Source organism: Homo sapiens, chromosome 17, assembly GCF_000001405.40.
Source record: "Homo sapiens chromosome 17, GRCh38.p14 Primary Assembly".
Lineage (NCBI taxonomy): Eukaryota > Metazoa > Chordata > Mammalia > Primates > Hominidae > Homo > Homo sapiens.
Window position 1 is genome coordinate 30047474 of NC_000017.11, and position 14339 is coordinate 30061812.

The 14339-nt window shown below is 37.6% G+C and overlaps 1 protein-coding gene and 1 pseudogene across 16 annotated transcripts in view; one reads left to right on the forward strand and one right to left on the reverse strand.

Moving 5' to 3' along the window:
• EFCAB5 (EF-hand calcium binding domain 5) overlaps positions 1-14339 on the forward strand; it is a 178550-nt gene that overhangs the window by 117571 nt on the left and 46640 nt on the right. For 13 of the 16 annotated variants that reach the window (NR_026738.2, XM_024450742.1, XM_024450743.1 and 10 more), the window contains 6 exons: positions 3645-3744; positions 5782-6675; positions 8415-8492; positions 8591-8683; positions 10203-10417; positions 12072-12228. Coding sequence is in view for 15 of the 16 variants with exons in the window: in XM_024450742.1 (XP_024306510.1) it covers positions 3645-3744; positions 5782-6675; positions 8415-8492; positions 8591-8683; positions 10203-10417; positions 12072-12228 (1537 nt within the window). In the remaining variant the exon portion in view is untranslated. The remainder of the gene's footprint in view (positions 1-3644; positions 3745-5781; positions 6676-8414; positions 8493-8590; positions 8684-10202; positions 10418-12071; positions 12229-14339) is intronic. The other 3 variants (NM_001145053.2, XM_047435949.1, XM_017024592.2) reach the window with 1 other exon arrangement.
• Positions 11581-11674, reverse strand: RNY4P13 (RNY4 pseudogene 13; annotated as a pseudogene).

Genomic DNA, 14339 nt, shown 5'->3' on the forward strand with positions numbered 1-14339 from the left:
ATATATGACATTTAACTACCAGAGACAAGTCCCACTAGTCAAAGTTAGTGCTCATAAGTATAATTAATAATAGTATTTTGATCCAATCTCAAAGATCCAAGGCCATATTTTAACGGATCCAGTTTGTCTAGGACTCACACTGTGGTTAGTTCCTGAATATATACTTGGAATTACCATAATGAACAGTGGGAGTTAAAGTGGCCATCTAAATGTTTTCTTGGTGATTACAGTTTCCTTAGGAATTAAATGGATATAATGCCTACTAAATTATTACTGGATCTACTTACAGAAAAGCACTAACTATAGGTCCAGAAACATGAGTTGAGATACCACAATGGAGAATCTCAGCCTCTCACCCAGATGCCAGACTTAAGTCAGTTGGTATACCCAGAACTCTTTGGTTGAAGGGAAGGCTGGGTCTCTTGGGGAAGAATTCGACAAGACTTCCTCAAGTACATATTGTAGATTTTACTCTAGGCTTTACTCAAAGGGCCTGTAGCCATTTATTAGGGTAAATATGCATTGGCAAAGGAAATATCACAGACTCAGGGATTACCAGATATTGATTCCAAGTTAACATCAATTCCTAGGATCCCAAAACACTCCCGTGGACCACTGGGTAAAGTTAGGATGTATAGATGTCAGATAATAAATGCTATTTTGGTCAAAGTTTATGTCATAGGTCCAATTACTCTGTGGACTTAGCTATGGTTATTTCTGGTTCTTGGATGTTTAATTGGAATAGACACACAGCAACCAGCAGAATCTTCACATTTGTTCTCCATTTTGGGAACTGAGGACTATTATGGTAGGAAGGACCTGGTATTATGGTAACAGAAACTCCTGAACTTTCCCTGTCTGCCAGAATGTTAAAAAAAAAAATACATAATCATATAACAAAAACAAAAAACTCCACAGAGATAGATATGAAAATATATAAACGATTCAGGGGAAGTAATCCTATCATATTCTTATCTAATTTTCCTGTTTTGTCTATGTAGAAGGTGGAGGATACTTCTTTTTTTTTTTTTTCTTTTGTGAGACAGAGTCTCACCCTGTCACCCAGGCTGGAGTACAGTGTCATGATCTCAGCTCACTGCAACATCCACCTCCTGGGTTCGAGCGATTCTCCTACCTCAGCCTCCCAAGTAGTTAGGACACGTGCCACCATGCCTGGCTAATTTTTATATTTTTAGTAGAGATGGGGTTTCACTGTGTTGGCCAGGCTGCTCTTAAACTCCTGACCTCAGGTGATCCGCCTACCCCAGCATCCCAAAGTGCTGGGATTACAGGCATGAGCTGCTGCGCCCAGCCTACATCTTGAAGAATGTAGATTACTGTGGCTCTATTTACATGGCTATTCCAGGTGTGGAATCTTTATTGAATCAAATTGACGTAGCTCTCTCATTCACAACAACTATTGGTCTGGCAAATGCTGTTTTCTCTAGAGAAGTTTACAAGGACCAAAAGAAATTTGATTTCACCTGTCAAGAATAGCAATACTTTTCACTGCATTCTCTTAGGGCTAAGGCAGTTCTTCTTTTCTCTATCGTAATCTAGTATACATAGACCTTGATTGTATTGACATCACAGAACAGGTCCATGATATCCATCATGATGATTGGACTTGATGAGCTGAAAGCAGCATTAGATACCTTGGTAAAGTAGCATTAGATACCTTGGTAAGACAGCTAATGTGTGTCAGAGGATGGGAGATAAGCCCCATAAAAATACAGGGTTTATGACCTTGTTAAAATTTTTGCTTTGGGAGGCTGAGGTGGGCGGATCACGAGGTCAAGAGACTGAGACTACCCTGGCCAACATGGTGAAACCCTGTCTCTACTAAAAATACAAAAATTAGCCAGGCGTGGTGGCATGCGCCTGTAGTCCCAGCTACTCCGGAGGCTGAGGCAGGAGAATTGCTTGAACCCGGGAGGCGGAGGTTGCAGTGAGCCGAGATCATGCCACTGCACTCCAGCCTGGGCGACAGAGCGAGACTGTGTCTCAAAACAAAAACAAAAACAAAAACAAACAAAAAAAAAACAAAAGAAATAGGCAACTGGTCCCAACTGAAAAATGGGAAAAAGATCTGAAAAATCCATTCACAGAAGAGGAAAAACCCATACATATAATAAGCACATGAAAATATATTAAATCTCACTAGTAATCAGGGAAATGCAAATTAAAATAATGATACCATTTTTATCTATCAGATTACAAAAAATAATAAACTCTAACAATATCAAGTATTGATGTGGATATGAAGAAATAACACTGTCATTCAATGCTGGCAAGAATGTAAATTGGTATGAACATTTTGTGAAGCAATTTGGCTATAACTAATAAAGTTGAAATGCATACATTATGCAATCCAGTAATTCCACTTCTAGTTATTTATCCTAGAGAAACGTTTGCATATGTACACAGGAGACGTGTATAAGGATATCCATTGCAGCATTACGTTGATATCAAAATACTGAAAATAATCAAAACACCATCAATAGAGGAGTTTTTTTTTAATTATGGTGTTTCCATATTACAGAATGCCTTATTGCAGTTAAAAAGTATAAAATATATTTCTTTACAGATATGAATTAGATCTCAATGTTGAGTAAATAAAAGCAATTTGAAGAAAGACATACGTACTGTATCAGGTACTTTTTTTTCTTTTTTTTTTTTAGATGGAATTTTGCTCTTGTTGCCTAGGCTGGAGTGCAATGGCATGATCTCTGTTCACCGCAACCTCCGCCTCCTGGGTTCAAGTGATTCTCCTGCCTCAGCCTCCCGAGTAGCTGGGATTACAGGTGCCCACCAACATGCCCAGCTAATTTTTGTCTTTTTAGTAGAGACAGGGTTTCTCTGCGTTGGTCAGGCTGGTCTCGAACTCCCGACCTTAGGTGATCCACCCACCTCGGCCTCCCAAAGTGCTGGGATTACAGGCGTGAGCCACCGCGCCTGGCCTATATCAGGTTTTTTTGTTTTTGTTTTTGAGACAAGGTCTTGCTCTGTCAGCCAGGCTGGACTGCAGTGACATGATCATAGCTCACTGCAAATCAACATATCCTCTGGCCTCAGCCTCTGGAGTGGCTAGGACTACAGGTGTACACCACCATGCCTGGCTAATTTTTTATTTTTTGAAGCAATGGAGGTCTCACTGTGTTGCTATATCAGGCTTTTTAAAGCACATACACAAAATGTTAACAATCATTATTTCTGGGTGTTGGGAACACATATGTTAATTCTATCATTTTCTATATTTTTCTATAATCAAAAAAATTTTTTAAAAATAACAATGGAAAAAGGACAAGTAGGGAGCGGTAAATTGTTTCAAGTGACATACTCAGGTCAGGTAAGATAAGTACTGAACATTATACATTGGATTTAGCCATCAATAAGTCAGTCACAAATATTTCTTAAACATTTACTAAGTAGAGGTCATTTTGACACGTCACAGAATGGGAAAGTAGAGTATAAGCCTAAAGGCAAGATATAACTTTCTTGATTTTGATGCTGCAGCTTTTATTTACATGATAATGATTGTTGTGGTGATAGTGATGATAAAAGCTTCAATAAGCCACGTTCCAACTGCATAAAAATCTTAAATCTCCTGTAACAACTAATCACAAACTTTCTTCTTTGCTTAGGTAGGGTTTTTGGATCGGCAGAGGACATTGGCCCTGCTGGAATTGTTCTATGACCATAGTTCACAAATGCTTAGGAGTTTACTTCGAAACCCACGACAATGTAAGTGCCGCTCAGAGGGAGTATGTTCAAGCTGGAGTGTCGCAGTGCACTGATATGTACTGATATGATACACTGATATGTTAACACAAGATTATTCTACCACCATGGAATCCCTTCACATAATAGCTCTCTTAGATCATGATAACTGTATCTAGTTGTTTATTCCCTCCACGAAATTCACTCTTCATCACAACTAGATGTATTTTTCACCACAGTGCAATACTCAAAAATTTTATATCAGAACTCAGCTAGAACTCAATTCTAAATTCATTCAAATGAAGAAATGCTTTAGTGACAGTCTGAATGTTTTGGAAATTAAGTTAGTAATGGTAATTCCATTTTATTAACAAAAAAATTTTTTTGAGTCTTACTCTTCTCACCCAGGCTGGAGTGCAGTGGCATGATCATGACTCACTGCAGCCTCAACCTCCCAGGTGGGAGATGATTCTCCCACCTCAGCCACCTGAGTAGCTGGGACTACAGGTGTGCACCACCATGCCCAGCTAATTTTTTGTATTTTTAATAGAGAGAAGGTTTCACCCTGTTGCCAAGGATAGTCTCAAATGCCTGGGTGCTGGGATTGTAGGTGTAAGCCACCGTACCCAGCCTGGTAATTCCATTTTTAATGCCCAACTTAAAATTATAAGATGTATAAGAACAGTATTTCCTTTTCCCAAGCATTTACTTATACAGTAAAATATCCTTTTTATGTTATTTCCAAAACAAGTACAATTATGGGGTTTATTTTTATTTTTTTTTATTTTATGTTATTTTACGTTTTCAGAGATGGGGTCTTGCTATGTTGCCCAGACTGGCTTCAAACTCCTGGGCTCCAGCAATCCTCCTGCCTCAGCCTCCAGAGTAGCCAGGACTACAGGGATGTGCCACTGTGGTCAGTTTATTTTCATTTTTTTTAAAGAGAAGGTATTGTACTGGCTGAGTTTCCCAAAGAATGTCTTTTTTTTGAGACAGAGTCTCGCTCTGTTGCCGAGGCTGGAGTACAATGGCGCGATCTCAGCTCACTGCAACTTCTGCCTCCCAGGTTCAAGCGATTCCCCCTGCCTCATCCTCCCAAGTGTCTGGGATTACAGGCGCCTGCCACCACACCCAGCTATTTTTTTGTATTTTTAGTAGAGACGGGGTTTTGCCATGTTGGGCAGGCAGGTCTCAAACTCCTGACCTCAGGCATCCACCTGCCTTGGCTTCCCAAAGTGCTGGGATTACAGGCATTGAGCCACCACACCTGGCCAAGAATGTCAATATTTTATTTCTGTGTGAAGATTTATTAATTGGATACTTACAAATCTGTGGGTGATATACTTGGAGTATTTCTGAAAATTGTGAGAATTGCAATTTTATGGCTTACCACTACTGTTTTGGGAGAAATGGGGACAGTCTTGTGGCATGATTTCCACTCTTTATAGTACAGACACCAGGGTTTTATTGTTGTTGTTTAACAGTGGGATTCTGTGAATACTATCCAGTCTTTCCCTAGTATTCTGTTCTAGGTATCCACATAACTGTAGAGGAAAATAATTGAGGAATGAAGAACAAAGAAGAGGGAAAGAGATAGGGGGAAGAAATGAATGTTGGAAAAACATAGCCCCATTGAAAGATTGTCATGGATAAAGACTTGCTTTTTATATTGCAAATATTGAAAATATATTTGACATGAAAGATGTGTCCCTTTTCCCATCCCTATGTGATGCTTATTGTAGGAGACCACAAAGGTAGAGGACAAATTCTATTTGCCTTGGCAGTCTAAGCAACACTCCAAGTAGCAAAAGGAGAATCCTATTTATTTCCAAAATCACACCTTTTAGGAAGGGATGATTTCTAACTTACAGTAGTATAAGTTCTTTTGGGTACCTTTTTACTTTTTATTGTGTTGCAGCCAAAGATAACTGATATTTATTTAGAGCAATAGGCCTATATTACAATTTCTGTGCTCAATGCTTTTCTTTGCATTAATTTAATAGCTCTAATTCTGCATTATAAGATCAATGGTTTAAGTGAATATTTTGTTTTCTGCATTAGGGCCATTCATTGAATTTGAAGAGATAAACTTGACTGAGTTGTGGGGAGACATGGATAATCAGAAACACATTTATGAAGGTTTTGACAAAGTGCTCTTGGAGATGAATACATTACTTTCTGCAAATCATGCTAGCAAAACCCAAAGTAAATTATTAGAAAGTCCAGATCAACCTAAACTTAACGAACAGAGAACATCAACACCATCACCAAACCCGCCAGAACAGCAGAGAGGAGTAACTGCAGAACAAGGACCACAAAGAATTTCAATTGAAGAACAACAACAAGGCAAAAAGCCAACTGCAGAGCAAGAACTGTACATAGAATCAGTAATAGAACCAGGAACACACACAGAGTCAACTCTAGAACAAGGGTCAAGTAGAAGGTTACTGACAGAACAAGAAACACACAGAGAGTCAACTACAGAACAAGGACAGCACAAAGGGTCAATAGAAGGACAAGGACCACGCAGAGTGTCAGTTTCAGAACAAGGATCAAGCAGAGAGTCAGTTGCAGAACAAGGGTCACGCAGAGAGTCTATTGCAGAACAAGATCGACACAAAGGGTCAGTAGCAGAACAAGGATCACGCAGAATGTCAGCTGCAGAACAGGGATCACTCAGAGAGTCAGTAATAGAAGAACCATACCAAAAATCAGAACAAGGACCTTATGGAGAGATAATTTCAGAAGAGCAAGAAGACATAGGCTCAACTTCACAATCAAGAAAAGATAGTATCTTAAAAAGTACAAAATATGGGGAACCTATAACCTCTGAGTACATTGAAGTCCCTCTACAGGAAAAGAGGTCTTGGGAACAAACATATGAAGAGGAAATATTCCTGAGTTCTGAACTGCAAGAGGAAGTTCCAACCTTAAGCAGAAAAGATCACTTTCCAGGTAGTAATGCAGTTCTTCTACAACATCAGTTCCCTGTTTTGTGGAATGGTTTTTAAAGTCTTTTCAGAAAACACTCATTTAAGTTAGAATTTTTTTTCTGGCATATCAGATCATGCAAACCTCAGGCATATTTTGCTGCTCCACATTAGTCTAGACCTTGAACAATAATCAATTAATTACATTCACTAATGAAATGCAAGCCAGAATGTCTGTATTGTCAATTTACATATAATTTCCATTGCACTAGATTATAGAAGTGTTTTAATTGGGTTTCTGAAAAGGTAGTAGAAGCCCTTTTGTTTTAAATGTAATGTCTGATATTAGAAACCACTTTAAAAATTTTCTTTTATTTCAACTGTAAATGGGTCTCGCTTTTTTCAGTTAAATATAAAATATATGTTCTAGAAGAGTTTCTGAAAGTCATATTCAAGACAGAACGCACCCTGCATTTCAAATATTTATTCTCATGTCTTTGGTCAGAATTTAGGCATACAGTAGTTCCCCCTTATCCATGGTTTTGCTTTCCACAGTTTCAGTTAACCACAATCAACCACAGTCAGAAAGTATTACATGGAAAATTCTAGAAATAAACAATTCATACATTTTTAACTGTGCACCATTCTGAGTAGTGTAATGAAATCTTGCACCTTTTGTTCAGTATGTCCATGTTGTCTATGTTACCTTCTCATTAGTCACTTAATAGCTGCTGGATTATCAGATTGTCATTATGTTGCAGTACTCTTGTTCAAGTAACCTTTATTTTACCTAATAATGGCTTCAGTCGCAATAGTAATGGTGCTGGCAATTTGGATATGCCAAAGAGAAGCCATAAAATGCTACCTTTGAAGTGAAAAGGTGAAAATTCTCAGCTGGGCATGGTGGCTCATGCCTGTAATCCCAGCACTTTGAGAGGCTGAGACGGGTGGATCGCTTGAGCCCAGGAGTTCAAAACCAGCCTGAGCAACATGGCGAAACGCCATCTCAAAAAAAAAAATTAGCTGGCCATGGTGGCATGCAATTGTAGTCTCGGCTACGCAGGAGGCTGAGGTGGGAGGATCACCTGAACCTCAGGAGGTTGAGCCTGCAATAAGCCATGATTGCACCACTGCACTCCATCTAGCCTAAGCAACAAAGTGAGACCCTATCAAGAAAGAAAGAAAGAAGAGAGAGAGAGAGGAAGGAAGGAAGGAAGGAAGGAAGGAAGGAAGGAAGGAAGGAAGGAAGGAAGGAAGGAAGGTTCGTTCTCAACTTAGTAAGGAAAGAAAGAAAATTGTATTCTGAGGTTGTTAAAATTTACAGTAAGAACAAATCTTTTACTTATTAAATTGTGAAGAAGGAAAAAGAAATTCATGCTACTTTTTCTGTCACACCTCAAACTGCAGAAGTATATGTACTATCTGCAGTTTCAGGCATCCACTAGGGATCTTGGAACATATCCTGCCAAGGTTAAAAAGGGGGCTATTGTATAGTAATACCTAGCTGTGAGGGTGGCTGAGAAATGTAGCCTCATTTTGCATGGCCAAATTGGATACAATAACAGCTTTTGCTATAGAGCTGCTTTCAACAATTCAAGTTATTCAGTGACTTCACTGTGGTCGATTGCAACACTGCATATATGGGAAAGTACTTAGAGTTTTTGGTGTTCTATATGCAATGCATTTCTATCACTTATTAACCTTAAAATAGCTAATGGAATATGTAATGTCTAATTCATAAGCATTTTCATTTGCACCTTTTAGAAACTACAAAAAAGGAAGTTCAGAAAGACAAGCCCTGTGAACCCAAGTCCCAAAAAATAGAAGGAAAGTCATGGTCAGGTAACTCCTCATTTAATCCTCCTTTCATTTATACCCTAGAACAAAAATATTGTGAAAGCGAAGTTTGATTGGCTATGTTATGGAATGTGTTTTTACAGGTGAATTTTTTACTTGTAACTGGAAAATGAAGTATGTCACATTTGAAGATGAGGAACAGGCAAACTTAATCTATGGTAACTCCAGGTTCACAGGTACATGTTAACAATGAAAGTAGGAATAGATGGCAGTCCAATAGATGGATTTAATTTACTGTGGTACTCGATGATAAAGACTGAATTTAGCTAAGGCAGAATGGGAAGGTGTTCCTTGCATTATTTTGTCCTTGAGCTGGTGAATCTAAATATATACCAGATAGATATATTTGGTGGTGATGTACTATTGATGGTGGCATGTGCTATTGATGAATGCTCTTCTGCTTTAAAACTTATGGCATTAGTACCCATTTTTTAACCATGATATGGCCCTACCACTGCTTTAAAGCTATGATCTAAGCATACAGAGAAAATCAGACATTAGATACTAAAACTCAATAGAAATCATTTCAGCTATTCCTTTACCTGGTAGGGCCACATCTAAACATATGAGACAAGTGAGAATCTATCTTGTTTTTGAAGACTTGCAAAGAAAGATCTACTCAACAGAGCAGAGTAGTTTCTGGCTTTCAGACAAAGCATGTCTTTAAAATGATTGTTCCAAAAGCACTCATATTTCACTAAAATGCTACTATATTGTTTTGCCTTTCACATCAACAAGTTGTAGAACTAAATTAGATCAAGATTATCTTCTTCCTACCTGCAAATTTTTCTCTCATTTAAGCCTCAAATAACAAACTTTCTATCCTCAAATTTTCTGGTGAAAATGCATGGCATTGGTCAACCTCTTGCAGCCTGCTAGTTCATGTTCTTCTTCTTAGTCATCTTTATATCAATTTTGCTTTACCAATATATGTAAAAATTGTGAGTAATCATTTTTTTTAATCACATCAAATCTCATATAGAAGGTATAAGGGCATGAATGATTGAATCAATGAATAAATCAAACGGAAGTCACTTTGCTGACATTTTATGAAATATACTTCATACTGTACTATTGAGCTAAAAGGTAAATATATTAGCCAAGGCTTTTGGAAGAAGGAGTTGTGGTGGTGGTATTTAGTAATTTGTTTAACTAGAAAGTTCAGCGTGCAGCTGTTTTCAGGCACAACTAGATTCAAAGGCTCAACAATAGCAGCAGGATACTGTCTGTCTTCCTCTAAGCCCTGTTTTTCTGTGTCACTTTCAATTGAGACAGTTTTCTCCATGTTGTGACAAAAATGGCCATGAAAGCATCTCTAAGCTTATACTCTACTAGTTCAGCAATCAGAGTACAAAAAGAGTGATTCGTCCCTAATAGTTCTTCCAAAAGTTCTGAGGCTAACTCTCATTGGCCTATAGTAGGTTACATTGCTATCATATATGAATTGTTAGCCAGATGTATATCACATGACCATCCATGGCACAAAAGTGGGAGGCACAGTATGACCTGACTCATCTGAACTGACAATGGAGAGATGTTTTTCCAAAGAAAAAAGGAGGATGCTGTCCTCATGAAGGAAGCATGGATTCCTGACAGTCAAAAATGGCAGATATTCATTACAATAGGCACTCATTTATTTTCCCTAACTGAAAAAATTGTTCACTTTACTGCTTGGTAATGTTTCTTGCTTGACAGATTTACACTCAATTATCAGAAATATTCAGTCTTGCAAGGAGGTAAAAGGCAGAACTGCCTTCAATGGAGTTTCATTCAATCTGCTCCAGTTTGTGCAACTCCTGGAGACATTTGTTGGTGAAGACGCTCCCTTGAGTGTCAGCGAGACTCTCACCTCCTTTTTTAAGGAGGGCTATGTTGAAACAGAACAAGAGAAAATGAATGCCTTAGAACAGGTGGGTAATATTATTTATTAATGATACAAGTGAGGTCACTATTATAAGTAAATCTCTCAACCTCAGTTGCTCCCGATGTGGCTCGTGTTAAAAAATGTACAACCAAACTGATCACTTTCTTTCAACAAGCATAGCCATTAAAGATTCTATTTTATCATCAAATATTCTAAGATCACACTCCAGAGAACTCATTCCCCTAATAATAACATGATTGCTCCTAGCAGGAGATGGTTTATTGTACAGCTTTATTCTTTCTCTGAAGCTTTTTGAGAAGCAGATATGGATATATGCAAAGATGTGTATGTGCATTATTTGCCTGTGTGTGAGTGTCTTTACAAGTACACACACCTGGGGTATGATTATGGCCTGAGTATATATTTTTACTCATGAGCACCCAGGTAGTACATATTTCCTAAGAACTTACTACTTACTTGGGTGACAGGTAAGTGCATACACATTAGCTTATATAAACAATTTATTCTCTCATATGAAATATGTAAATTACTTTCACTAAGCTTATTCAGTAATCATCAGCCTTATGAGTCTTTTCAACCTAATTCTAGACAATTCCCTTTACCTTCTCAATTCCAGTTCTTCCTACTAAATCAAAAGGTGTATATTCATTTTATTTTTGCAATTATATCTATCTAGATATTAATTCAATTACTATCTCACTAATATAATTAACCTAGTGAAAACTCTAAAAGATAAATAAAATTAATGTCAAATATAGTCAATCTTAAATATAAAAAAAGAATTTTTAAAACACAGCCATTTTTCATTATTTAAACACTGCCATTCATTCCCCTTCACTCAAAACATATCCCTTAGGGCCAGCTGCAGTGGCTTATGCTTGTAATTCCAGTGCTTTGGGAGGCTGAGGAGGGAAAATCTCTTGGGCTCAGGAATTTGAAGTTACAGTGAACTGTAATTATGCCACTCTATTCCATCCTGGGTGACATAGCAAGACTCTGTCTCTAAATAAAAATAATAATAATTTTAAAATACAGTCTGTGTATTTATCACATTCCTGAACAACTAGAGAAGGAGTGGAAAAGAATGGTCAAAGATTCTTAAGGTTTGTAGAATAAATTTGAAAAAAAAAAAAAAGGATTCTTAAGGAATACTAATGCAGAGAATGCCTGCTGTTATTTTTTTTCTTCAAAGCCAGTCAAGGTTAGCAGTGGGAGGTTGTATACCAACTTTAGTGACACTAATGTTAATAAGTTCTGATAACCCCCTACCATGGGACCAACCAAGAATGTCTGTTTTGTTTTGTTTTTGTTTTTGTTTTTGTTCTGGCCTAGAAGTAAAACAGAGAAATGGTATTTAAGGGATTAAAATTAATCACTGCATTTTCTTTTCTAAAAATTTTTAAAAAAAATTTTTTTTAAGACTGAGGTCTCACTGTGTTGCTCAGGCTGGTCTCCAACTCCCGGCCTCAAGCGATACTCCTGCCTCAGCCTCTTGAGTGGCTGGCTTTACAGGGATGCACCACTGCTGAATCACTGCATTTTCCCTTAATATCATGCTTAGCCTCAAAGTAAACCTGTTTTAATAGAAGACGCTGGACTTTTTTTGGAATAAACACAGAATGCTAGCTAGCACAATGAACATATATCTTCCGTGCTTTATTATCCTGTTTGTATCCTAGTTTAGCCAAAATGCTTTCCAAGTCCGACAGAGGCTTCTCCTAGAAGCCATCTTTCAGAAGTGGGACAGTGATGGCTCAGGCTTCCTGGATCTGAAGGAAGTTGATGAACTCTTGTACACATACAAGGAGGGAATGGAAAAAGAATCTATGAAGAAAGGTAAAATATAAGAATGTTCTTATTTAAACTGTGGTAATTAACTTGGCTTCAAGTTTCTCAGTACACATATACAGTTAAAATACTGGTTATGCTAAAACCACTAGATAACCCTTCATGTCTACCAGTATAGATATACATTTATCTTATTTATTTTTAATTTCTAAAAATAGAGATAGGAGTCTCACTGTGCTGCCCAGGCTGGGCTCTAATTCCTGGGATCCAGTGATCCTCCTACCTCAGCCTCCTGAGCAGCTGTGACTGCAGTACCTGCCACTGTGCCCAACTCTGGCTATAATCTTTTAAGTAGAAAATAACAAGTGTTGGCAAGGATGTGAAAATATTAGAAGCCTTGTGCATTTGTCAACACAGTCAGAAGTGGAATATGTTGCAGAATGCTTTGTCCAAAATCTTAAATCTATATAGTTAGATTCCTTCAGTATACCTGGCTACTCTCACTATGTAACTAACCTGCACAATGTGCACATGTACCCTAAAACTTAAAGTATAATAATAACAAAAAAAATAAAAAAAAATTTAAAAAAAAGGTTAAAAGGATTCAAGCCATTCCACAGTTCTGCTTGTTCTCTCTTCTTGTTTTATCTCTTTGTCTTCACTGGCTTGCAAATTTCTTCTTCAATTTACTAACTTCTTATTCTCCTTAGTGACTTTTTGTGTATTATATTTTTCTCTTATGACCAGTATTTACCAGTCAAAAGCCACTAAAATTCTCATTCCAGTATGATAAATTCCTTTCTTCATTTTATTAGATCTTAGTTTAAATTATTTTTCTCTTCACTGGGTTTAAAGATTTATCTGGTTAACTTTGGTGTACCAGATTTTCAGTTTTTAAAGTATATAGTGCACAAGGGAAAGAATTGTCAAGGTTAGTTAAGTTCTTCAGCCCTTTCAAAAATCATTGTATTGGTTGAGCGTCAAATGTTCCTAAGTTTATTGATTGTCATGTTCTCTTCAGTAACTATGTCTTCTACAAACTTTACATTATACTACCTGGCATGTCTTAGGATACATCCAATGAGAATTTACTTAATGAAATTCCAAAAGGCATAATGATGTGATTTTCACTTATCAAATGGGCAAATTTCGTAACACAAAACCACATCCTACAGAGAACACTAGACAGTAGTTATAGCAGCTGGGTTCCAATACTGGATCTTCACTAAATGATCTTGTGATCTTTGGCAAGTTCCTTAACTTCCATAGACCCAGGTCTCCTTGTTTTCAAAACGAAGGCTTTAGATATGAAGAATCCTAGAATTTAAGGAACCTAAGGGTAATGTTATAAGGAAGTCCCATATATTAGATGATATGGAATCCAATTATGTGGAATTATATGGGATCATATATATGAGTAAGGTATAGCAATAGGGACAGATAGATAGCATAAAATGTGAAGGATTAAGCCCAGCAAATGAGAACCAGGACAGCAATGAGGAGGCAGAATCTGCTGCCAGATAAAAATGTCTGCAAACAAGAACAATTATTCTCTCCAAGGGCAGGCTTATACAAAACGACTCTCAATAAACACATATTGGTAGCCATTTGGTCTGAGGAGATGATTGCTGAGCTGATGGCAGTATGGAAGAAAAAAAGCAGATTTATGCTCTTTAAAAAGGAAGAAGATTCTAAATTTCAAGCATTGCCAATAACCGATTGGCAAATCTTCAAACAGCTCTTTTGTTTGTTTGCTTGTTTTGGTCTACTCCTATTGCTTCTTTGTCCAAGATTTAAAATTGGGATTTAAATAGCTTAAAATCATAGGATTAGAAGTTTTTAGAAAGGTTTCTGCTGGTGTCCTCAAAATGGAAGATTTCTATATGGAAGAGGAAGGTTGAAACTTTTAGTCTGTCTTCCCCCTCCCCACCTTTTTTTTAGAGACAAGGTCTCACTCTGTTGCCAAGGCTGGAACGCAGTGGCATAATCATGGCTCACTCCAGCCTCTATCTTCCAGGCTCAAATGATCCTCCCATCTCAGCCTCCCAAGTAGCTAAGACTATATAGGCTGTGCCACCATGCCTGGCTAATTATTTTTAAGACAGGGTCTCACTATGTTGCCCAGGCTAGTCTTGAAGTCCTGGGCTCAAGAGATCCTC